Source organism: Homo sapiens, chromosome 14, assembly GCF_000001405.40.
Source record: "Homo sapiens chromosome 14, GRCh38.p14 Primary Assembly".
Taxonomy (NCBI): domain Eukaryota; kingdom Metazoa; phylum Chordata; class Mammalia; order Primates; family Hominidae; genus Homo; species Homo sapiens.
The window spans coordinates 23902042-23927452 of record NC_000014.9 but is presented as its reverse complement, the minus strand read 5'-3'; the positions used below and the strand labels follow the sequence as shown (position 1 = coordinate 23927452).

The 25411-nt window shown below is 42.9% G+C and overlaps 1 long non-coding RNA gene across 2 annotated transcripts in view; it reads left to right on the top strand.

Annotated features, from left to right (window-relative positions):
- LINC00596 (long intergenic non-protein coding RNA 596) overlaps positions 1-25411 on the top strand; it is a 95219-nt gene that overhangs the window by 6489 nt on the left and 63319 nt on the right. The window contains exon 2 of one of the 2 annotated variants that reach the window (XR_001750659.1): positions 24741-24878. This is a non-coding gene — a long non-coding RNA (long intergenic non-protein coding RNA 596). Of the gene's footprint in view, positions 1-24513; positions 24879-25411 lie in introns of those variants that run through there. The other variant, XR_429343.4, reaches the window with a different exon arrangement.

Below are 25411 nucleotides of genomic sequence, written 5' to 3'. Positions count from 1 at the left end.
AGCTGAATTTTAAAAAATCTTTATATACTATTACATTTACAAATGGTTAGAAAGTTGCCAATGCTGCTGCTGAAACACTGGCAATCCCGCCCAAGTCAGAGGTTCACGGACTATGTCTGGAAGCATAAGAAACTGCTTACAGTTGCTGCCCCTGAGTAGGGGAAGCGGGGGCTTGTGGGCCTGGGGAAGAGGGCTAGGAAGTGACTTAATTTTACTATATGTGCTATATTCGTTGGTGCCTTTTGGATTTTGTATTCTTTGCGTGTGGTGCCAATGAAAACATGATGTCTAGGCACAATAAATCTACATATTTCTGACCTGTAAAATTTCCCCAACGGTCTGATGGTGGGACAGAAGAGTTGAAGTCAGTGTGGTGTTGGAAAATGCAAAACATTTAGTTACTGTGCCATATAAATGGAAAGGCAGAGAGTGGAGACAATGCCAAGGCTAAAAAGAGAACAATAGGTGGGAGTGAGCCTGCCTAGGAGTCCAGATGGAGCAGTGGAGACCAGGTAGAATCTTGGAGCTGTGGCCAAGGGAGCAGAAAACTGCAAAGATGGTGGCACAGACGGCAGAGGAAGAGTGTGAGTGGATGGCAAGGAGAGGAGCCGCAGGGTGGCGCCAAGGCAGGCCAGGACCGCTCACTGTGGTGTAGTGTGGACAGACACTGAGGTATGGTGCATGCAGTGGGTGGCTGCTGTGGCCAGACATGCTGGGTGCATAAAGTTGAGGCACCAGGGAAGCGTGGAGCCGGGGCGCCTCCTGGGATGGCTGCTGAGACCAGTGCGAGTTGGGGAGGAAGCAGACGCACAGGCTGGGCCCAGGGTTGCGGAGCCAGTGGGGTTGGGTTAGCTGCAGATCTTGAAGGCTTCTTCTCTTAAACAACGAGTAGCATGGAAAGAACAGGATTGGCAGTCAGAAGGCCGAGGTTCAAGTCCCGCTTTGAGGACCAGCTCTGTGACCTTCCTCACTATTTTGTCATCCTCAAAATGGGTAATATTAGCCGCCTCGTGGAGGCAAGAGTGAAAACATCTGCAAGAAATAGCAGACATAAGCGCTCTCTGAGCTGTAAACTGTAAAACCAGCATAACTCATCAGAGCAGAGAGGGGCCCAGTCACATTAAGGAGGTGGAGTGACTCCCAGGCCTGAATGAAGGTATTTTGTTAATTAGAACAAGAGCTAAAGACCCACAGACCCCAGGAGGAGGAGAGGCAGGCATACATGCTAGTCTATGCCCCGCTCAGGTGAAGTGCCCAGCCCAAGGCCATGGTGTCTCTGGGTCCAGAAACAGGCATTGTGTTTTTGTGGAAAAGGATGTTTTATGCTACCCTGACCCCCATCAAACACTTGAGTTACAGTAACGCTTTTCCGATTGCATGGTTACCACGTAACCTCTCATAGCGTTATTTGGCTTCCCTTGTAGCCTGCCCCTCAGGGATAGAACTTTCTGTCCTCCAGAAATTCTCATTGTTTACCAAAGTAGTTAAAAGCACTGATTTTGGAACCAGGTTGAGATTCTGGCTCTGCCACTTCCTATCGGTGACCTTGGGCAAATTATATGATGTTCTTTGTATCAGTTTCCTCATCTGTAAAATGGGATACTAAGAGTAGCTTCCTGTTCCTTGTGAGGAATAATGATAAATCATGTAAGGGCCCTCAGTGCCTGGCCTGGTAGGTGCCGTACACACGTTTGTGGGGTTTATGGAAAATCGCTGACTTGGCATTCTGATTCATCCACGGTAGACTCTGTGAACCTGCTCAGGGTGCTGCTGCCTAGAAGTTTGCTAGAGGAAGGGCATTCCAGGTAGAGGGTGTGGTTTGCTTGAGTCTTGGAAGGGTGAACAGGCTATAGGTAGCTGGGGTGGCTGCAACCTGGGCACATGGGGCAGAATGGTGGGAGATGAGACAGAGCAGATTGGGGCCAGATCCCTTGAGTATGGGCAATAACAGTTTGTGCTGTGCTAATACATTCTGATTTCATCCTATAGGCCATGGTGGTCCCCTGGAGAATTTTAGGCAGGTGAGCGACAAAATGGAATTTGTGTTTTAGATTTCAAGGTCCTTGACAGCGGGGCGGGGGCGGGGATGGAATTTGTGTTTTAGATTTCGAGGTCCTTGACAGCGGGGCGGGGGCGGGGGTCTTGTTCATCCTTGTGTCATCAGTAAGTCACCCATCTTTTGACTCATAGTAAGAAATCAATGAGCATTTGTGAAATGAGTGAAAGACAACGCCGGAGACTATGGAGGCCAGAGGGGCATCAGGGAGACAACCCAGGGCCTGTTGCACTAGCCTAGGTGGGAGCAATGAGAGTGTGGACAGAGGCAGCAGGAGGTGCTGGGGGAAGGTCACACTCCCCTCCAACTTGGGAAGGAGGGTCACAGTATTTGGTGACTGATGGGGGAGATGGATGAAGTTAAAGCAAAGATGACTTTATATTTTTAGCTAGGGTGATGGCAAAACTACTAAAAATGAAAGGAAAAGAGGAGGAAGACCAGTGTGCTTAAGTTTAGGACAACAATGCAATGTGAAGTACCCAGTGGATGTCAATGAGTTTTTTCTCTTAATAATTTGCCTGTAAGCAAGGCTGTCATTGCTAACACTTCTGATGAGCTCTCTTGAATCTTTGAGGGGACCAATAATTGCAGTTTCAAGGTGGGATCTGTAAAAAAAATCATGTGAACAGTTTTCACCCATATATGTTAGGTTACATATGTTATGAGACATGTTTGAAAAGGCACGTATAAGCAAATTTGTCTAAATTCAAATGTTACAAACACACAGCTATATACTTGTATACGTTGTGTGTGTATACCCAACTCTATACTGCTGGAAGTTGTGGAGACAAGCAGCACTATCTGACCCTTTCCCTGGGGCCTCTAAGTTGCCTGACAGTGAGCCAGCTCTCAGACTCAATGTCCCTTGGGATGGAGGGCTCCCAAGGTCTCCAAGTTCTGGATGCAGTGACATCTGAGAGACTTTTCCTACACAGTAGACATGTCAGGTTGAAACTGCTTGGTGTGTTATCTAACATGTTTATTCCCCCACGCAAGACTACCTTTATACATACCTCATTAAATGGAAGAATATCAAGGGGTGGAGTTTCCGTGCTGGCATCCCCATGGCACATTTATCCATTTGGCCCAAGCACACTTTTCAACAGGAGGCTGGGAGGGCAGGGACCTAGCTGGGCTGATCCTGCTCTCATGAGTTCCAGCTGCACCAGATGATGCTGGTTGGTGTCTACCCTGAGCCCTTTACACAAATACCAGTGCAGTCTTGTTTTAGATCCTGGGGAATAACAACTGATTTCTGTGGATGAGAAGTTCCACAGAACTTTCCTCTGCTAACTTATCACTTAGCAGAGGAAAATTTATTGTTTCATTTCTTAACGCATGTGTTTTAATTATTTCTGCCATCAGATTTAACAAAGCCCTAAAATGAAATTTGAAGTAGCATGAGGATTTTATGAAGATCTTGTATAATAAATTTCAGCTATATTGCCTTATTCACAGAATCTAAAAGACTGTTATTTGCTTTTCTTATTATTTTCAAGGGGAAAAAATTTCAAACCTTTTTCCCCAGGTCTCTTGAATAATAGTGGTGTATTTTTCTCTGTCATGGCATGGAGAAAGGCTCTCTTCTGCTGAGTTTATGGATTTTTTAAAGTTAATGATAATGGTTTGTTTGAAGTAGATTTTTGTATGTGTGTGTTTGAGGTGAAATTCATGCAAAGAGAGGTGAAATAGTTGTCCGGGTTCTTGCTGTGACCAAGAATGTTTTATCTCTTAATGGGAATGAAAATAACACTTAAAAATCTTAGCTGGCTCTGTCATGTAGTCAAGGATTAAAAAATAACAAAAACCTCATCAATGACATTACCAGATTTTTTGTTGTTGTTTTATTATTATTTTTTTGAGCACCCAGGCTGGGGTGCTGTGGCATGATCTTGGCTCACTGCAACCTCCCCTTTCCAGGACTCAAGCCATCCCCCGACCTCGGACACTTGAGTAGCTGAGACTACAGGTGTGTGCCACCACACCCAGCTAATTTTTATATTTTTTGTGGAGATGGCAGGGGAGGGGTGTCACTATGTTGCCCAAGCTGGTCTCGAGCCCCTGAGCTCAAAGCCATCTGCCCACCTTGGCCTCCCAAAATGCTGGGATTACAGGTGTGGACTACTGTGCCCAGCCTACAGCACTTTGACTTTCTAATTAGTCAGGATACACTCGATACTGGTAACTGCTACCTGCATCAGAGATACCTGAAAGTATCTCTGAATATAGTCTCTTAGGGAAAATGTTTTGAAAAAAGTGAAAAGCTGGGTGAAGAAGTACAGAATCACAAGTCGCATAGAAACAAAACAGAGCCAAAATATAAATAAAGAGTGTGTGTTCATACACACACACACACACACACACACATTTTTATATGCCTTATACTTTCTTTCTTCTACTCTGAAATAGAGAATATTATAATTCTCTTCTTTATATTCAGGAACGCAATAGGTAATTACATATTTTTAGTGATCCCCTAGAAATCTTGATAAAGTCGACCCAAAGTAAGAAACTGTAGTTAAGTTTTGTGTTAGTTTTGGTGGCATAAAATAAGGGAGGACTAGCCCAGGAAACTGTGGGTAGAGTCCACTAGCTACTTCTCTGCCCTGTGGTTCTATGTGGTCCTTGTAAAACCAGTAGATAACAGCAGTAACTAAGGGTGTAGACTCTGGAGATGAATCAGAAGGAAGCCTGGAGACTGTGAAGTGAGTTAGTTAAGAGCTCTACACCCAATAAGACAAGGAAGACAATACTAGCTAGCTCATTTCCTTCTATCTCCAACTTCTAAACATTAAAAAACATTTTTTCAGTATGTGTTTTTCTGGAAGGAATGATTGGAATATCCAAGGACATGAGGGGAGAAGAAAGCGGTAAAATGGCATTTGCTGTAAAAGAGTGGGAAAAAAATTGAATTACTCCAAGGTTCGTTGTGTTCTTCCAGCTCCATCTATGATAAAGAGAATGAACAACTAGGTGTTTTCCTTCTGGACAATGATTATGACACAGATTACTGCTGGGACCAGAAGTATTGCCACTTTGGACAACATGGAATAGAAGGATTATTGAGAATCACTTATAATGAGATGTTACTTCAAATTAGGAAAAATTTGATAAACAAATTTATAATACAAATGATTATAAAAACCTAAAGACCACTCGTGACAGAATTTTTAAAATGATGTGTTAATTATAAATACCAGTATCTTGCTAATTAATGTGCCTTGTTTGGGGCATATCAAGTGTATAGCCTATTAATATAATCTATCTGGACTGAAATGCCTTATTAAGACCCCATTCTGTAAGAGGTATTTTATTCCCTGGTTTTGGTACTTCCTGCCCACTACTAATTTGAATTTTTACTATAGTCATTCCTAGGAAATGTTCAATAAAAATTTTTAGATGAATTGCTCTCAAGCCCAATTCAATGCTTGTTAATTTGTTAAGAAGATAACTAATGAGTCTGCTCATCCAGAAAGGGTATGAAAATGAGGAATTGTGGAGTTGACAAATGATGCTTATGTAGGCAGCTAGTTTTTTTTTTTTTTTTATATCGTCATTCTTTTAGAGGGTCAGTTCAGTTTCTTTTTCTTTTATTTATTATACTTTAAGTTTTAGGGTACATGTGCACATTGTGCAGGTTAGATACATATGTATACATGTGCCATGCTGGTGCACTGCACCCACTAACTCGTCATCTAGCATTACGTATATCTCCCAATGCTATCCCTCCCCCCTCCCCCACCCCACAACAGTCCCCAGAGTGTGATATTCCCCTTCCTGTGTCCATGTGATCTCATTGTTCTATTCCCACCTATGAGTGAGAATATGCGGTGTTTGGTTTTTTGTTCTTGCGATAGTTTACTGAGAATGATGATTTCCAATTTCATCCATGTCCCTACAAAGGACATGAACTCATCATTTTTTATGGCTGCATAGTATTCCATGGTGTATATGTGCCACATTTTCTTAATCCAGTCTATCATTGTTGGACATTTGGGTTGGTTCCAAGTCTTTGCTATTGTGAATAATGCCGCAATAAACATACGTGTGCATGTGTCTTTATAGCAGCACGATTTATAGTCATTTGGGTATATACCCAGTAATGGGATGGCTGGGTCAAATGGTATTTCTAGTTCTAGATCCCTGAGGAATCGCCACACTGACTTCCACAATGGTTGAACTAGTTTACAGTCCCACCAACAGTGTAAAAGTGTTCCTATTTCTCCACATCCTCTCCAGCACCTGTTGTTTCCTGACTTTTTAATGATTGCCATTCTAACTGGTGTGAGATGGTATCTCATAGTGGTTTTGATTTGCATTTCTCTGATGGCCAGTGATGATGAGCATTTTTTCATGTGTTTTTTGGCTGCATAAATGTCTTCTTTTGAGAAGTGTCTGTTCATGTCCTTCGCCCACTTTTTGATGGGGTTGTTTGTTTTTTTCTTGTAAATTTGTTTGAGTTCATCGTAGATTCTGGATATTAGCCCTTTGTCAGATGAGTAGGTTGCGAAAATTTTCTCCCATTTTGTAGGTTGCCTGTTCACTCTGATGGTAATTTCTTTTGCTGTGCAGAAGCTCTTTAGTTTAATTAGATCCCATTTGTCAATTTTGGCTTTTGTTGCCATTGCTTTTGGTGTTTTGGACATGAAGTCCTTGCCCATGCCTATGTCCTGAATGGTAATGCCTAGGTTTTCTTCTAGGGTTTTTATGGTTTTAGGTCTAACGTTTAAATCTTTAATCCATCTTGAATTGATTTTTGTATAAGGTGTAAGGAAGGGATCCAGTTTCAGCTTCCTACATATGGCTATCCAGTTTTCCCAGCACCATTTATTAAATAGGGAATCCTTTCCCCATTGCTTGTTTTTCTCAGGTTTGTCAAAGATCAGATAGTTGTAGGTATGCGGCATTATTTCTGAGGGCTCTGTTCTGTTCCATTGATCTATATCTCTGTTTTGGTACCAGTACCATGCTGTTTTGGTTACTGTAGCCTTGTAGTATAGTTTGAAGTCAGGTAGTGTGATGCCTCCAGCTTTGCTCTTTTGGCTTAGGATTGACTTGGCAATGCGGGCTCTTTTTTGGTTCCATATGAACTTTAAAGTAGTTTTTTCCAATTCTGTGAAGAAAGTCATTGGTAGCTTGATGGGGATGGCATTGAATCTGTAAATTACCTTGGGCAGTATGGCCATTTTCACGATATTGATTCTTCCTACCCATGAGCATGGAATGTTCTTCCATTTGTTTGTATCCTCTTTTATTTCCTTGAGCAGTGGTTTGTAGATCTCCTTGAAGAGGTCCTTCACATCCCTTGTAAGTTGGATTCCTAGGTGTTTTATTCTCTTTGAAGCAATTGTGAATGGGAGTTCACTCATGATTTGGCTCTCTGTTTGTCTGTTGTTGGTGTATAAGAATGCTTGTGATTTTTGTACATCGATTTTGTATCCTGAGACTTTGCTGAAGTTGCTTATCAGCTTAAGGAGATTTTGGGCTGAGACAATGGGGTTTTCTAGATATACAATCATGTCATCTGCAAACAGGGACAATTTGACTTCCTCTTTTCCTAATTGAATACCCTTTATTTCCTTCTCCTGCCTAATTGCCCTGGCCAGAACTTCTAACACTATGTTGAATAGGAGTGGTGAGAGAGGGCACCCCTGTCTTGTGCCAGTTTTCAAAGGGAATGCTTCCAGTTTTTGCCCATTCAGTATGATATTGGCTGTGGGTTTGTCATAGATAGCTCTTATTATTTTGAGATACGTCCCATCAATACCTAATTTATTGAGAGTTTTTAGCATGAAGGGTTGTTGAATTTTGTCAAAGGCTTTTTCTGCATCTATTGAGATAATCATGTGGTTTTTGTCTTTGGCTCTGTTTATATGCTGGATTACATTTATTGATCTGCGTATATTGAACCAGCCTTGCATCCCAGGAAAGATCCAAAATTGACACCCTAACATCACAATTAAAAGAACTAGAAAAGCAAGAGCAAACACATTCAAAAGCTAGCAGAAGGCAAGAAATAACTAAAATCAGAGCAGAACTGAAGGAAATAGAGACACAAAAAACCCTTCAAAAAATCAGTGAATCCAGGGGCTGGTTTTTTGAAAGGATCAACAAAATTGATAGACCGCTAGCAAGACTAATAAAGAAAAAAAGAGAGAAGAATCAAATAGACACAATAAAAAATGATAAAGGGGATATCACCACCGATCCCACAGAAATACAAGCTACCATGAGAGAATACTACAAACACCTCTACGCAAATAAACTAGAAAATCTAGAAGACATGGATAAATTCCTCGATACATACACTCTCCCAAGACTAAACCAGGAAGAAGTTGAATCTCTGAATAGACCAATAACAGGAGCTGAAATTGTGGCAATAATCAATAGTTTAACAACCAAAAAGAGTCCAGGACCAGATGGATTCACAGCCGAATTCTACCAGAGGTACAAGGAGGAACTGGTACCATTCCTTCTGAAACTATTCCAATCAATAGAAAAAGAGGGAATCCTCCCTAACTCATTTTGTGAGGCCAGCATCATTCTGATACCAAAGCCGGGCAGAGACACAACCAAAAAAGAGAATTTTAGACCAATATCCTTGATGAACATTGATGCAAAAATCCTCAATAAAATACTGGCAGACCGAATCCAGCAGCACATCAAAAAGCTTATCCACCATGATCAAGTGGGCAGCTAGTTTTTTAAAGGTATGAAAGTTTAGAGTTCCATTTCAAAGGTTACCAAAACATGGAGTCCACATCAGCTGTTGGGAGGGGAGCCCACGGCAGGACCGTCTGAGGTGGCAGGGGTGCACACTCAGGCCATGGGAAAACACTTCTCAAAAACAAATGAGAAGAGGCTGAAGTGTGGGAATAACAAGATTTTACCCCCCAAGTTATTTTAGGGCTAGTAACAAGAAAGCATCAATCGTATTGAACCCACTGGGGGCTCACTGCTTGGTGCTAGGCAACAAGGTCTGAGTTTTGAGCTGTCCAAAGCCAGTGTTTTTTCTCCAATTTAGACAAATCTTCCCATTTCTTAGTTTTGGGACGAGAATTTTGTTTGTTTCTTCCTTAAACAAAGGATTCTTGGATTTGAAATTAAGAATGACTAAAATAAAATTTAGCATGCATTCTGTTTCAACCCCAGCTGGTCTGACACCACCTGGCATACTACAATTCAGTTCTGGTGGTAACCCCCTGGAGCTAGTGCAGACCCCATCAGTTACAGGCTCAGTCCTCCATAAGACTTCCTTCACTTTAGCTGCCAGCTGCAATTCAGAGGCCCCTAAGCCACCTGCACTTTTGACCAAGTGGCTACAAATTTGGGAGTTCTCACAACCCCATCAGGTTAAAAAATTCACTAGTATGTCTCACAGAGCTTGAGAAAACACTTTTAAAAAAATAATTACAATTTTATTATAAAGGATACAGATCAGGAGCAGCCAAAGGAAGGGATACACAGGGTGAGTTCTGGGAGAGTCCAGAGTGTGGAGCTTCTGTGCCCTCTCCTGTGGAATCAGGATGCTGTCACCCTTCTGACACATCAATGTGTTCACCATCCAGGAAGCTACACTAATATTTGGTGTCCAGAGTTTTTATTGGGGTTTCATTATGTAGGCATAGTTCATTAAATCAGTGGCCAACTGATTGAAGTCAATCTCCACCCTCCTTTCCTCTCCAGAGGTCAGGCTGAGCTAACATCACATTGCTCAGAGTCCCAACCCTCTAATCATGTGGTTGGTCTTTCTGCTGAGTCTTTCTGGTGAACAGCCCCATCCTGAAGCTATCTAGGGGGCTACCATGGGTTTTCTCATTAGCATGAACTCAGCTGGCTCATGAATAATGAAGACACTTCTGTCGCTTGGGAAATTCCAAGGGTTCTAGAAGCTCCATGCCAGGAACCCTGGACTAAGACCAGACAAATTCTTTATTAAACAACACCACAGGAATACAGGTAATGTGGTCATGCTTTCAGAGAATGAACTTTAAATGATGTACAGGGGGTTCTGATTTGTTTTCCAAATGGGCCAGGGTGGTCTTACCAAAACACATGTGTGCTTGAAACCTTTCAGTGGCCTCCCCCTATTCTCAGGGCAAAGAGTAAAATCCCTAACCAGGCCTTCTGGGTCCTGCATGGCCCAGCTCCTCTCCTGTCTGGCCTCATCTGACACAGCCCTTGCTCCTTGCTCTCATGGGCTAGCCCTTCAGTTTCTTGAATGCACTTGCTGTCTTGTCTGGGCCTCTCCCCTTGCTGTTCTGTGCTTGGATCTGTCGTCTCCCTAGCCTTTTGGTCTATGTGTTCCTACAGCACTTTGGCTGCTTTCCTTCATGGTCCTTGCTCTGTCTTCCCTATTAGCTGTAAGCTCCAAGGTCAGCTGTTTGTGCTCATGGTTGTATCCCTGCCCCCAAACTGGTAAGTTCCTAGTACAGAGAGGATGCTCCACATACTTTTGTTGAATGAATTAATGAAGTGGATTCACCCTCACAGGATTGGCAAAAACCCTTACCCAGGGCTGAGAGAATACTGTTTGCTCTGCCGGGACTTCCCTTGTTCTTGTGTTTTCATGTTCTGCTTATTTTTATTCTTGGTGTCTCTTATTATTTTTGCCCCATGTCATTCTGTACAGGGCTCCATCTGATGTCAGGGCCTTTGCTTATGCACTTGCTCAAAGTTTGCCTCTCCAGAGTCGTAATCGGTTGTAATCCCGAGGAGACTCTAATATGTTTTACAAAATCCCTGCTACTAAGTTACTCATCTGGGGAAGGCTTCTGGCTCTCCGTGGTGTGGGGATTCTGCCTGTGCTGCTGCTCTGCTTCAAGCCTTTTTAAAAAGCCTGCTTTCTTTGTACCACATCCTAGCCTGGTCTTTTAACTGCTGTGCTGTTCTAGGTCATTCCTTACCTTCGTTTTTCCTGTTTAACACCATTAAGCCTCTCCTGGGCAGTACCCGCCTGTAAGGTTGTTTCTGTTGAATGGCTTGATGCCCACTTTCAGGTATATTAGTCTTGGTAAGTATAATAATTCTGCTAGAAGGATATAGGAAACAGACACAGAGGAATTAAGTTAACGTTACTTGAGAACATACAGCTAGTTAGCAGAATAACTGGAATTAGAATGCCAAACTCCTGACCTCATATCTAGCTGTTCTTTCCACTCCACCCTGAATTGGCTTACATTTGTGAATTGGCTCACATTTGTGAATTGGCTCACATTTGTGAATAGGAAATTTTGTTGACTATCTTTCCACTTATCAAAATGTTTGGAACCATACCAAGCTACTTGGAATCCATATCGTATCACCTCATGTGATTCTTGGACTGCAGAAACTGGGAGAAGCAATTAATAGCAGTAAGCTCGACTTTTCTCAACTTTCCCCTTCAGATGTTCTGAACAAAGAGAACAAGGAACTCAGATCACAAAAAGCTCCAATTAAAGGGAACTTGACTGCATATCCATTTGTTAAAATTACTACCAACCCTCCAGGTTTCCCTTCAGTGTCTATGTTGTAAAAAATGGATGGAAAATGTATTAATATTAGCCACTGATATGTTCATAGAATAGATGAGAAGAAAACACCTCGGTATTCCCACCTGAGATAAGAAAGTGTTCTAAAAATATCTTGTTGGCTGGGCATGGTGACTCATGCCTATAATCCCAGCACTTTGGGAGGTCAAGGCAGTAGGATTACTTGAGCCCAGGAGTTTGAGACCTGCCTAGCCAACACAGGGAGACCCTGTCTTTATAGAAGTATTAAATTTTAAAAAAAATTTGGCGGGGCACAGTGGCTCACACCTGTAGTCCCAGCACTTTGGGAGGCCGAAGCGGGTGGATCACGAAGTTGGGAGATCGAGACCATCCTGGCTAACACAGTGAAACCCTGTCTCTACTAAAAATACAAAAAATTAGCCAGGCGTGGTGGTGGGTGCCTGTGGTCCCAGCTACTTGGGAGGCTGAGGCAGGAGAATGGCATGAGCCCCAGAGGCAGAGCTTGCAGTGAGCCGAGATCATGCCACGGCACTCCAGCCTGGGTGACAGAGCGAGACTCCATCTCAAAATAAATAAATAAATAAATAAATAAATAAATAAATAAATAAATAAAATAAAATAAAAAATGTATAAAACAATAAAATTTTAAAAATCTGATTATGAATGGCTTGTTTATGGTCATCACAAAGATTCATAAAAGATGAAATGTAGATATAATTTAAAGGAGATAAATTTTAGAGTTTTATGAGATTAAAAAATAAAAAAGGGCCGGGCGCAGTGGCTCACGCCTGTAATCCCAACACTTTGGGAGGTTGAGGTGGGCGGATCCCTTGAGCCTAGAAGTTAGAGACCAGCCTGGGCAACATGGAAAAACCTCATCTCTACAAAGAATACAAAAATTAGCTGGGAGTGTTGGCGTGCACCTGTAGGCCCAGTTACTCAGGAGGCTGAGGTGGGAGGATCACTTGAGCTCGGGAGGTGGAGGGTGCAGTGAGCTGAGATTGCACCACTGCACCCCAGCCTGAGTGACAGAGCCAGACCCTGCCTCATAAACGAATAAATAAATAAAGTAAAACATAAAAGATAAAAAGGTTGCAGAGAAAGAAAGTTTTCAGCTCTTCCAGTGGATCTGACAGGTGCTTGAATTCTGCTTTTGATCATCTTGTTTTTTGCCTGCAGTCCTTGTGTTAAAATGGATAAAATGGAGATGATTAACCCCGGACAGGCAGGTCATCTGATAAATTGGAAGAATAAACACCCGATGAGATGACCTGTCCTTCTAAAATGTGTGCATCTATCTCCTCCAAGGTTTAAGGACATTTTTTGTCTTCCCCATAAAGCGTCTCCAGTGTTATGAGTCCCGGGCCTTCCTGCTGTAGACCCTGCTTCCATAGTCCACACTTCACACAAAGCCACGACACTGTTTCATGATTTAGAAGAGGGTTTCCCTTTCTAAGGAGGATACGATTAGACTTGTTTGTTTGTAAAGCCCAAGTTAATAACCTTTCAAAACGGATCTCAAAATGGAATGGCCCATGCTGACAACTGTAGTCAGAATTCTGGTGCACAGAGTAAGCAGCCCTGTGCATCACAAGGCACTGCACCCCCAGGCATGTTTCTCAATACTTACATGTTGTTTTGTCAACCTTTTCCTGTCACAAATGGAGGAAGATGTTAAAGCAGTTCAGCTCCTTGTCCCTTTCCTCTGTTGGCTCCTGTACTAGGTGTCTTCTCTTTCCTTTCTAGATCCACATTTTACCTGTCCACTCCAGGCCAGGGAGAGAGGCTGGCCCAAATGAACATCATCAACAGACTTATGCTTTCTGGCTTCTAGCTGGGTTTGGCTAAAGGAAGTCATCAGCAGGCACTGGGAGGTGGCGTGCAGAGTGAGTTGGGGAGTTTATTACTGCAGCTCACTCCCTTCCAGTTCAAGAGGGTTAGCTCATCCCACTTCTGGTGGGTGGTCCTTTTCAGTAGCTGCTCTCTCAGGGTGCCCAAAATCTCTCTTCCCTGACAGCCTTCATGCTTAGAGATGGTAACCAAGGAACTACATGACACGTTGTTGGTTTCAGAAGTTCTTCCTACATATTTGTCATAGTCCCTTTATTAAAAATTCCTCAACTAGTCTGTGCACAAGCCATCAGTTTCTTGTGGGGACTCTAATTGATAGTACTTTGTTGTGTTTCTCTCTCACTTTTTCTCCCTCTTTCTTTTTTGTTCTCTTATTCTCCTTTGTCTCACTCCTCTCCTCCAATTTCCTCTCCGTGTCTACCATTTTTTCTTTCTATCCCTGTCTCCTCCATCTGATACTCAATTTTTTCTCTGTTGTTTTAAAGTATTACTATTAAAGTAATACAGCTGGGTGCGGTGGCTCACGCCTGTAATCCCAGCACTTTGGGAGGCCAAGGCAGGCAGATCATGAGGTCAGGAGATTGAGACCATCCTGGCTAACATGGTGAAACCCCGTCTCTACTAAAAATACAAAAAAAAAATTAGCCAGGCATGGTGGCGGGCGCCTGTAGTCCCAGCTACTGGGGAGGCTGAGGCAGGAGAATGGTGTGAACCCAGGAGGCAGAGCTTGCAGTGAGCAGAGATCATGCCACTGCACTCCAGGCTGGGCAACAGAGCAAGACTTCATCTCCAAACAAACAAACAAACAAAAACAAAAACCAAAAACCAAAACCAAAACCAAACAGACAAACAAAAAGTAATACTGCATTTATTTACCTTATTTAGGGATGGAGATGAGCTTCAATTAACGAAAAAAAAATAATTTGAATAACATAAAAACAAGATATGGTGGCTGCTGGGACTGTAAAATGGTACAACCATTTTGGAAAACAGTTTGACAGTTTCTTAAAAAGTAAAATACACATCGACCATGCAATCCAACCATTCCATTCATAGGTATTTATCAAAGAAAATTGAAAGCATATGAGGACTTTTACATGAATGTTCGTAGCAGCTTTATTTTAAAGAGCCAAAAAATGGAAATAATCCAAAAGTCTACTAACAGGTGAGTGCTTAAAATATATCTAAGCAATGGAATACTACTTAGCAACAAAATGGAATGAAATATTGATATACGCAACAGCACGGTTGGGTCTTGATAACTAGGCTGCGCAAAAGAAGCCAGACAAAAAAGAGTACATACTATATGACTCTATTTATACATAAAAGCAACTAATTTATAGTGACAGAAAACAGATCAGCTGTTACCTGGAAGGCAAGGGCTCAGGGAGGACCAAGAGTTACAGATTACGAGGTGTGTAAGTTAACTTTTGAAGATAATGAATATGTTCACTATCTTGACTATGATGATTGTTTCACGCATGTATACATATGTCAAAACTTATCAAATTGTGCAGTTTAAATATGTGCAGCTCATTTAAATATGTCAGTTACACCTCAATAAAGCTGTTAAAAATACACAAAATGGTGGGTTTAAAGATGGTATATTACTTTCCTGTTGCTGCTGTAACAAATTACCACACACTTAGTGGCTTAAAACAATGCAAGTGTATTCTCTCACAGTTCTGCAGGTCAAAGGTCCAACCAAGATCGTCTCACTGGACTCAAGTCAAGGTGTGGGAAGGGCCAATCTCTTCTGCAGCATCTTAGGGGAGAATCTATTGTATTGTTCAACATCTGCTTGCCACCTCTTTTCCTTCTCTGTGGCCTCTTCCTCATCTTCAAACTGAGTTACTTCAATCTCTGCATCACATCACCTTCTTTCCTCTGTGGTAAGATCACCTCCTCTTCTCTTCTCCCTCTTGCAAGTACATTTATTATAACTACATTGTGATTACATTTAGTGCCCACTCAGCCCAGGATAATCTCCCCATCTCCAGATCCTCAACTTAATCACACCTGCAAAGTCCTTTCCGCCACATAAGAAAACATTTGCAAGCTCTGGGGATTAATGTGGATATATTTGGGGCCATTATTCGGTCTACTGTAGATGGTATATTGTTCGCTCTGTGAAAATGCATATTGCTTAGTATCTAGGAAAGGCTTATCTCCTTCTGCTTTGCCCTGAGGTATTTATACGTAGTGTTGGCTCTTGAAGAGAGCGGAACAACTTCCAGGTTGGATACTATATGAAAAAGCTCACTGGGCAGAAGTCATCCACTTCCTGTATGGGATTATAAGGCATCCCCAGTATAGCAGCCTAAACATGTTAAGCCCTTTCTCACATGGGCCATGCTTTTTCTTGAATAAAGGGCTTAGGCAGCTGGGGGAAGGATGACCCTTTAGATGATTGTTACGATTTTGTGCAAAGCTAATCCTTAGCTCGAAGGCGTCAGTCTGCCCTTTGTTAACTCATCTTTAATCATATCTGTGGTCTGACCAGGGAGATGCTGGGAAAATCCTCACCACCTGATTGCTGAAAGCAAACATCAGGGCCTATGTGTGGAGCTACTTCTACGGAAGCCGCTGAGGTGATACTCTCATTCCTAAAGTAGGGTAGACCCTTGAGCTTTGTTGACCCCAGACCTTGACCCTGGTGAACATTCTCAGAAAAGCAGGGTGTCTAGAGATAGGGTGTATTATGATAGGGAACGGGGTCAGAGGGAGATTTTCCTCTTAAGTCCTGCAGGGGTAGCAGATGGAATTGGAGTGACACTGTGACTGCCTACACTCTCTAGAGTGGCTGCCTCTTGTCTGCAGTCTGGCCCACACCGACAGTAGGCCCAATTTGTGGAAGCAGCCTTGCCCAATCCAGAAATGTCTCCAAGACCGGGAATTCTTCAGTGTGATCTCCTTCAAAAGGGAGAGAGTCATAAACAAATGACAAATGCAAGACAAATAGAGACTGGGGATAGCTAGTGGTTGAGCTTTGGGTATCTCTCGCAATGCCTTCGAGGCTCACAGGATGGTTCTTGATCTGTAAATTGACAGGGATAGCCCACATTTACAGAGTACTTTCCTATAGGCAGGGGAGAAGGTCTTATTTGTTCCTATTGTTGCTCTGACAGGCCAGGTTTCCTCCATATAGTTTAGCATCTGGGGACTCTGTCTTTCTAATGCAAAGGACCAGGTGAAGGAGGTGTGGGAGCCTGGGGAGATGGGAATGAGCTCTGTGATTGCGGACAAAGCTGAAGTTCCTTCCCTTGCCTGAAGGGGCCAGCAAAGGCCCAGATAGGGTGGAGACATCTTGACTCCCAGGAGGGAAAAAAAATCCCAGGAGACAGACAGCTCCTATCCAGCAACTGTGTGATTTCTCTGCCTGGACATTGACAGATCCTCCCACAGCGTTCCCTACCTGCCTGGAGATACTTGGGCTGGCCCTAGATGTCGGAGAATGGCAGTCTATGTGGGATTCAGGAGAGGGAGTGCACCCAAGGGCCTGGATGGAAGGGGCCACGAGGGTGTAGAATCTCCCACCGAGTAGCTCTGCCCTCTTGGATATTCCTGGGATGTCTGTGCCCCAGCCAGAGCCTGTGATCAAGCCATCAAAGCTAATAAGATAATTTCTGCATTAAATGAAATTGTGGATGAAGGATAGGGATGCAGGAACAGACTAATGGCTCTAATGTTTTTCCCCAACCTTTCACATCTCAATATAGTGCAGTCATCAGACTCCTTGTTCACGTGCTAGGAAAATGATGACTCCTCGGAGAAGCTGCTGGTAATGATCATTTAGTTTCTCATTCTTTTGTGTTTAGTTGGATGGGGTCAGGCAGGATAAACCATGGTAGAGGAGAACAGTAAATCACAATCTGCTCCATAGATAAGCATCTCTTTTCCCACCCAGTTTCACTGGTTGCCATGTTTTCAACAATCAAGAATATTCTTATTTTTTATTTACAAAAGTAAATTCTTCTTATAAAAAACAGAGAAAAAACAAAAGCCTCCTTTTACTTTACTCCTCCCATCTACACCCTGCCTCAGAAGTATCTATCACTGTTGATTTGGAGAATATCTTTCTCTCTATAGATAGTGTTTTAAAAATATGTCCACAACTATTTGATATGACTTCTTTCAAAAGGTGGAACCCACTCCCCTCACCTTAAGTGCAGGACGGACTTAGTGACTCACATTTAAAGCATAGAATGTGGCAGGAGTGATGATTTATGATGTCTGAGACTAGGATGTAAGTGGTGTTGAGGCTTCCTGTCTTGTTCTCTCCAACCCCTTGTCCTGGGGGAAGCCAGCTACCATGTTGTGAGGACACTCAAGCCAACCCAAGGAGAGTGCTGTGTGTTGAGGAACTGAGGCCTCCCGCCAACAGCCACATGAGTGATCCATAAAGAGATTATTGTAATGGATTCTGCCACCTGTGAGGGCATAGGCTCCCAGATGTCAGAGATACTCTGAAATTCGGGATTCCCAGGTACAGGAAAATGAGCAGAGGACAGAGCACACAATCCCCAGGCACATTTTTATATTGACACACAGTACCTAAGGGTGTATATAACAGGTATGTCTATTTTCAGTAACTTGGGTTTTGTGGTGGTTGCTGATATTTGCTACCCAATCGCCCTTCAGGGTTAGAGGATTTATTATCCCAGCTGCTGGCAGTGCTGCTGGCAGAGAGCCCTCACCCATCAACCTCCTCTGTGATTTCCTAAACTGAAGAGAGCCATCATGCCCAGGGTCATGCCCCTTCCCAGTAGCCCACATCCAGGATTGACTAATGAGTGGTATAGAGCCCAGCTCTTACACCCCAACTCAGGAGAGCTCTGATGGCCACCCCATCTTCGGAACTCTCTGCAGGATTGGCTGAGGCATTCATTGAGACTGCATTGCAGCTGAACTTCATCATCTGCCCATTCCCACGTCCCTCCCTTCCCTTTCACAGGTGTTGATACTCAAAGCACTCCCCAGTGAGCCTCCTGCATGCTAACCTCCATCTCAGAGTCTGCTTCCTGGAAACCTAAACAGGGACAGTGTGTTGTTCCAGGGATGTTCTTGGAAAGCAGATGAGGAGACAGTGTCTTAGAGTGGGATTACCAGCCACCCAGCTGGCATCACTGGTGGTAGATGGGGCATCGATAGCTAGTAGCAGAAGGTGGTGGTGCAGTCGCTCACTGGTGATGAGCTGCGATGGTATACTTGTGGAAGGGAGTGCATTAACTGGAACAAGGTATTAGGCATTTGAGAAATATGGGGGGTGTGGTAACTATACTGACACTCAGGAAAAGGATAATAAAAAGCTGAAAGTAATTAATCAGGTATTACAAGCTAAGTGTTGGCTGGGCATGGTGGCTCACACCTGTAATCCTAGCACTTTGGGAAGCTGAGGCGTTGGGGGGTGGTGTGGATCACTTGCGGTTAGGAGTTCGAGACCAGCCTGGGCAACATGAAGAAACCCTGTATCTACTAAAAACAAAAATTAGCCCGGCATGGTGGCAGGCACCTGTAATCCCAGCTACTGGGGAGGCTGAGGCAGAAGAATTGCTTGAACCCAGGAGGTGGAGGTTGCAGTGAGCTGAGATTGCACCACTGCACTCAAGCCTGGGTGACAGAGCGAGACATCGCTAAAGAAAAAAAAAAAAACTGTCAAAGCTGGAGGACCTTTTAAAAAAGAGTAGAGGAGCTCCAAAGGAGGTTAAACTCCCACATAAGGTGGGTCTGCTATGCCAAGGACAGGGGATCTGGGTGGGAAGAAGTGGGACCCTGACACATATCAGAGTTGATGCCCCCAGATCTTGACTTTCCAGTTTCCCTGGGAACCAAGGGGTAGAAGCAGAAGTGGCTCTGTTTACCATCATGCCCAGTGGCCAACTTGGGGACATCCCCCACCCCGTACCCTGCTGCATTCCTACATCTGTGGACTCTGTTAATTTAGAGGTCTTAGATCTCAAAGGGGAATGCTTTTATTTGGGAATAAGCAAAAGCCTTATTCAGCTATAATCTATGGCTGCCATTTGGTTATTTTGAGCTTCTTGTGACAAAGAACAGCAGGGAAATAGAGAATTCTCATCCTCACAGGACTGAATGACCCTTGTCATTAAGTGGGGTCAGGAAGGAACACATTGAGAAGGCAATATGGGGAATCTCTTCAGGTATACATTGATATAAGTCCTTGACACAGAAATCTACTTTATGGATGTACAGCTAGTCATCTGTATCCATGGGTTCTGCACCCCATGGATTTGACCAATGGCAGGTTGAAAATGTTTTGTTAAAACTTGCATCTGTACTTAATATGTACAGACTTTTTTTCTTGTCATGATTCCCTAAACAATACAGTACAACAACCATTTACATAGCACTTACATTGTATTAGGTATTGTAAGTAATACATAGATGATTTAAAGTATATGGGAGATTGTGCTTAGGTTATATGAGATTTTGGCATTTGCAGGAGGTTAATAACATTTGGAGGTGGAGCCTTTGGGAGGTAATTAAGATTAGAAAAGATCATCAGGGTGGGGCCCCCATGATAAGACTGGTGGTTTCATAAGAAGCAGAAGAGAGACCTGAGCTGGCATACACACTTCCCTCTCACCATGTGATGTCCTCTGCCATGTTATGACATAGTGAGAAGGCCCTCACCACCAGCAGCCTCTCAACCTTGGAACCCCCCGAGAAATGTAAGAAATAAATTTCTCTTCTTTATAGATTACCTAATTTTTGATGTTCTGTTATAGCAAAGAAAATGGACTAAGATAGTGAGTCTGGAGCACTTGGTTATCTGTTAGGAGGAAATGCTCCCACCAGAAAACACAATAAAGGTTACCCTGAATCTAAAGGTATGATTACCCTTTGATTATTTTGGAAATCTCATACTAGTAGAACAACAGAGATATAATTGCCTCTGATCACCATAAAGAAGTTGGATACCTGATACTAAACGGTGACACAGAACAATATATCTGAAATTCAAGGGATCCATTTGGGCATCTGTTGGTGGTCCCATGCCTTGTATTAACCATGAACAGACAATTGCAGGGATGGTGGCCTGACAAAGGAAAGCAAGGGCTCTGATTCATCCAGGTTAAAGGTCTGGTCACCTCCTAGGGCAAGCAAGCCTTGTTACATTAAATTTGAGGTGCTAAGAGACTATACAAGTGGAGATGTAGAGTAAGCAATTGGATACACAATTCTGGAGTTGGGAGAGGTCCAGGTTAGAAGCATATATTTAGGAGTCATCATCATATAGAATAGATGAGTCTACCTAGTAGGTGAGTATAAGTTACAAAAAGAAGACTTGAGGTCTGGGTCACACCAATGTTTAGAGAACATGACCTTTCAGTATTTGTTTGCAGAGGTGAGAGGTGGGAGGAAAATCAGGCATTTGGCATTCTCAAAGCCAAGTGAAGATAGTTTCCAAGGAGGAGAGTTATCAGCTGTGTCAGATGCTGCTGATAGTTGAAGTAAAATGAGGATTGAGTATTGACTCTTGGTTTTTGTGGTGTGAAATTTATTGGCGACCTTGACAAGATAGGTTTCAGTGGAGTGGGAGGGGCACAAAACTTGACTGAACTTGAAAATGGGGAGGAAACAAATAAGAGACAGTAGATGTAGACAACCCTTTCAAAGAGTTGTGTTGTTTTAAAAAATGTGGGAGTTGGGGGAGAATAGGCCAATGAGGAGGATCCCAGTGATCCAGGATAGAGGGTGAGCTGGTCAATGCAGGGGTGCAAGGGTAGACCAGTGAGGAGCTTCCTGGGATAGGCAGAAGGAGATAGGACCAGAATACAGGGTGGGGGTACTTTTAGCCAGGAGCACCTAGAATCTACCTAGAGTCAGTGGAGAGAAGAGAGAGTGAATGGGAAGAGATGTGTTTGGGTGGAGAGATATGTGGTGAGAGCTTGGAAGTTCTCTTCTAATTGCCCAATTTTCTCAGAGAAATAGGAGGAGAGGTCATCAGCGGAGAGTGAGGAGCTAGAGGCTTGAGGAGACATGGGAGGATGCACATAGGCTATATGCAAATAACATACCATTTTATACAGGGGACTTCAGCATCCATGGATGAATCACACAGTTGTCAAGGGAATGGGAGTATGAATGCAGATAAAGTGTGAAGCTGGGCAGCATCAATGGGCCACCCAAAGTTAGGGATTGTGGAGTTGGATTATGGATTTCATGATGTGAATGGGTAAAATATACTTTCACTACCTTGCTGACTGGTCTATATTGGCTCTGAAGAAGTCAGGTAAAAGTTTTATTCTTGGCCTTTATCCAACATATCTTGAAAACTGTGAAAGTGTCACTAAGCAGTTGAGCTTCATCTGTCCAAAGGTGATTTTTCCCCCGGTTAATAACATAACTTATCAGTGAGCGTTGAGAAGAGCTGAAAAGGATTGCACACATTTAAATACCTGGAAAAGCTAGTTGCAGCACTAAATGTTGTGTATCCATGCTATCATTGCTCATCTCTTGTAGAACTTTCCCCATCTGTGTTCCTTGATAAGAGTTGAGGTGTGGAAAGGTGAGGTCCTTAAAGGATAATTGTCAACACATCCACTGCCACATTCCACCATATATCCAAATTCAGAACATCTCAACACAGATTAAAACACTTAATTTCTAATACCAAGCTACACTCTTAACCAAATTAAGATAGGGAAAGATAAGAAGCCCTAAGGCATTAATCATTAAAAAAGGCATCCCAGTAACCAATATTTATAATGGCCTTTCCGTTGGCAACTTGGAGGTTTCTTCACTCGAGTTCACACACCATAGTAAAATAAGGATAGGAGCAGAATAAGACTCTCCTCCTTTTTGAGCTTGGCCAATTAAAAGGGGAGGTAGTAAAGTGAATTTTACATCACCTTGAACACAGGTGCTTTCTCAGGCAGGTTATTAGGAAAGACCACACGTGGAAATTGAAGATCTGAAAACTGATTTCTTGTTTTAAGAAACAACTTTATTGAAGCGTATCATAAAATTTAAGTCTACAATTCAATGATTTTTGTAACTTTACCAAGAGGTGCAACCATCACATTTGGTGAGTTGTAGAGCATTTTCATTGCTCAAATGAGACCCCTCATGCCCTTTACAGTTGATCTCTGTTTCAAGCCCCAGACCCAGGCAACCTTTATCTATTTTGTCTCTATAAATTTTATAAATTTGCTTTTCTGAATCTTTCATACCAATGAAGAAATTGAGTTTTAAAACATATATATGCCTACTTACCTCTCGGAAAGTCGTTGCATATATACTGTTCTATAGCATTCTCTTGCCCAAGGGATGGGACCCCTGTCTCAGGTCTATGGTATTTTTGGAAGAATATCTATTCATATCTCTGTATCTCTATAGATCTATTTATATAAAATATTCAATATACAATCTTCTTACCTTTATGATGAGTCCCAGTTGCTTTGTCTAGGGCACAGAGGGAATCCCAGCAACAGGAGTAGCTCAAGATTGGGCAGGTCCTGGGGTGTCTGGGCAGCTACTGTTCTCTCTCCTCTCTAAGTCAGGGCATCCTTTCCTTTCTCCTCCCCCTAGGACACACCAGGAGGTCTCCCTGCCCTCTTTCCAGACTTCACTTTGTTGAGTCCTCAAAGCCCCAAACCAGGATGGAGGCTTATACTGAAAGACACCAAATCACATTCTGTCCATCATGCAGGGCCTCTTTCACAGATTTGCTTACCGCCACAGTGCACAGGGACCCGTCTGAATCTCTATGGACTGTGCACATCAGCTCCCAGGAACTCTGGTCCTTTCCTTGCATTTTCTATGTTAACATATGGGCCCACTATCCATTCAGTTGTCTAAGCCAGAAACCGCAGTCAGCCAAGATCCTTCTCACTTCTTCCATATGCAATTGTCACCAAGGCCTGCTAATATGATATCTGCTAGCTTTTAGTTGATCTTCTCCTGATTCCTCAGTCACTGCATTTTGTTGGAGTGGTCATCTGTCTTTCCTGGAGTGTAGCTGTAGCTCCTGTTCTGCTCTTACTTCCAAACTAAGCTGGAGGAGTCTTTCCAAGGTGAAAAGCTGATCAAGTTCATCTCATTGTGGAGATTCAATGGCTTTGATGATAAAATGTACATTTCTTGGCTTCCTACACTGGGATTTTGTTGATTTGTCCCTGACTCCTCTCCCTTGCCTTCACAAGCTCCTTCTACTATAAACATAACAATGTTCTTGCATTTCATGCTTGCATCTTCTCATTCCCTGGATTGTTCCTACTCTTCCCTCAGACTCAGCAAAGGCATCCCTACTTCAGGGAAGCCTTATAAATACATCTACTTGGTTTTACATGGCTGTCTCTCCAACCCAACTTTCAGTGTTTCCCCTGCCCCTCCTCCCACTGCCACCAGGCTGACAATATCTTAAGGGCAGAGTTCGTATTTTATACTTCTCCAGAGTCATTGCACGTGATAGACGTCATTCAATATTTGGAGTTTCTTAGTCTCTTAAAAAAACACACCTTTTTTTGGAGAAAGGGAAACATGTACACTGCTGCTTGGAATATAAATTAATTTGGCCAATGTGGAAAGTGGTTTGGTGATTTCTGAAAGAACTTAAAAAACAGAATCACGATTCAACTCAGCAACCTTATTACTAGGTATATACCCAAAGGAATATAAATCATTCTACTATAAAGACACATGCACACGTATGTTTATCACAGGACAATTTATGATAGCAAGGACATGGAATCAACCTAAATGCCTATCAATGGTAGGCTGGAGAGAGCAGCCTGGCCAACATGGTGAAACCCTGTCTCTACAAAAAATACAAAAAAAATTACTGGGCATAGTGGTGGCCGCCTGCAATCCCAGCTACTTGGGAGGCTGAGGCAGGAGAATCGTTTGAACCCTGGAGGCGGAGGTTGCAGTGAGCCAAGATCACGCCATTGCACTTCAGCCTGGGCAACAGGGTGAGATTCTGTCTCAAAAAAAAAAAAAAAAAGGTAGCCTGGATAAAGAAAATGTGGTATGTATACATCATGGAATACTATGCCGCAGTAAAAAGAACAAAATCGTGTCCTTTGCAGCAACATGCATGGAGCTAGAGACAATTATCCTAAGAAAACTAATGCAGGAGTAGAAAACCAAATACTTAATGTTTTCCCTTATAAGTGGGAGCTAAACATTGAGTACATATGGATACAAAGAAGGGAACAACAGACATCAGAGTCTACTTGAGGGCGGAGGATGGGAAGAGGGTGAGGCTGGAAAAACTACTCCTGTGACATGCAATGTACCTACATAACAAACCTGCACATGTACTCCTGAACCTAGAAAAAAAGTCACATCTCTGTCTTAATGTCTGTCCTCTGTAGATGCCTTGAGCCTCTTATGGGATCATGAGGATTGTGTGCTGGGATCCCGGCAGACAAAGCTGAGATTCAGCTGGATAAAGCAGGCTGTAGCACAGCTGATGTTTGTTCTCTGTGGAAATCAGGCTCTTTTCTCCTAAGGTGAGTTCTAGAGCAGTTATTTCTACTATTAGTCCATTTTTTTGGCGTATATTCTATGTGCCTAACTGAGGTTCATTTGGTGTTTTCATCTTCATGCAAGCCCACTGAAGTGGGTGGTACTATCCCTGCTTGACACATAGGAAACTGAGTCATATACAAGTTAAATAACTTGCCCAACAAATATAATCATTATTCATTAACACATAGATTTGTCTTTAAACCCCATGCTCTTAACTTTTTTTTTTTTTTTTTGAGACAGGATCTCACTCTGTTGCCCAGGCTGGAGTGCAGTGATGCCATCTTGGCTCATTGCAGCCTCCGCCTCCCGGGTTCAAGCGATTCTCCCACCTCAGCCTCCTGAGTAGCTGGGACTACAGGCATGCACCACCATGCCAGGCTAATTTTTATAGTTTTTTTTTTTTTTAGAGACAGGGTTTCACCATGATGGCCAGGCTCCCATGCTCTTAACTTCTAAGCCATAATGTTTTATGAATTCAGTTATGAATTGGATACGTGTTGTGAACTAAAATTCA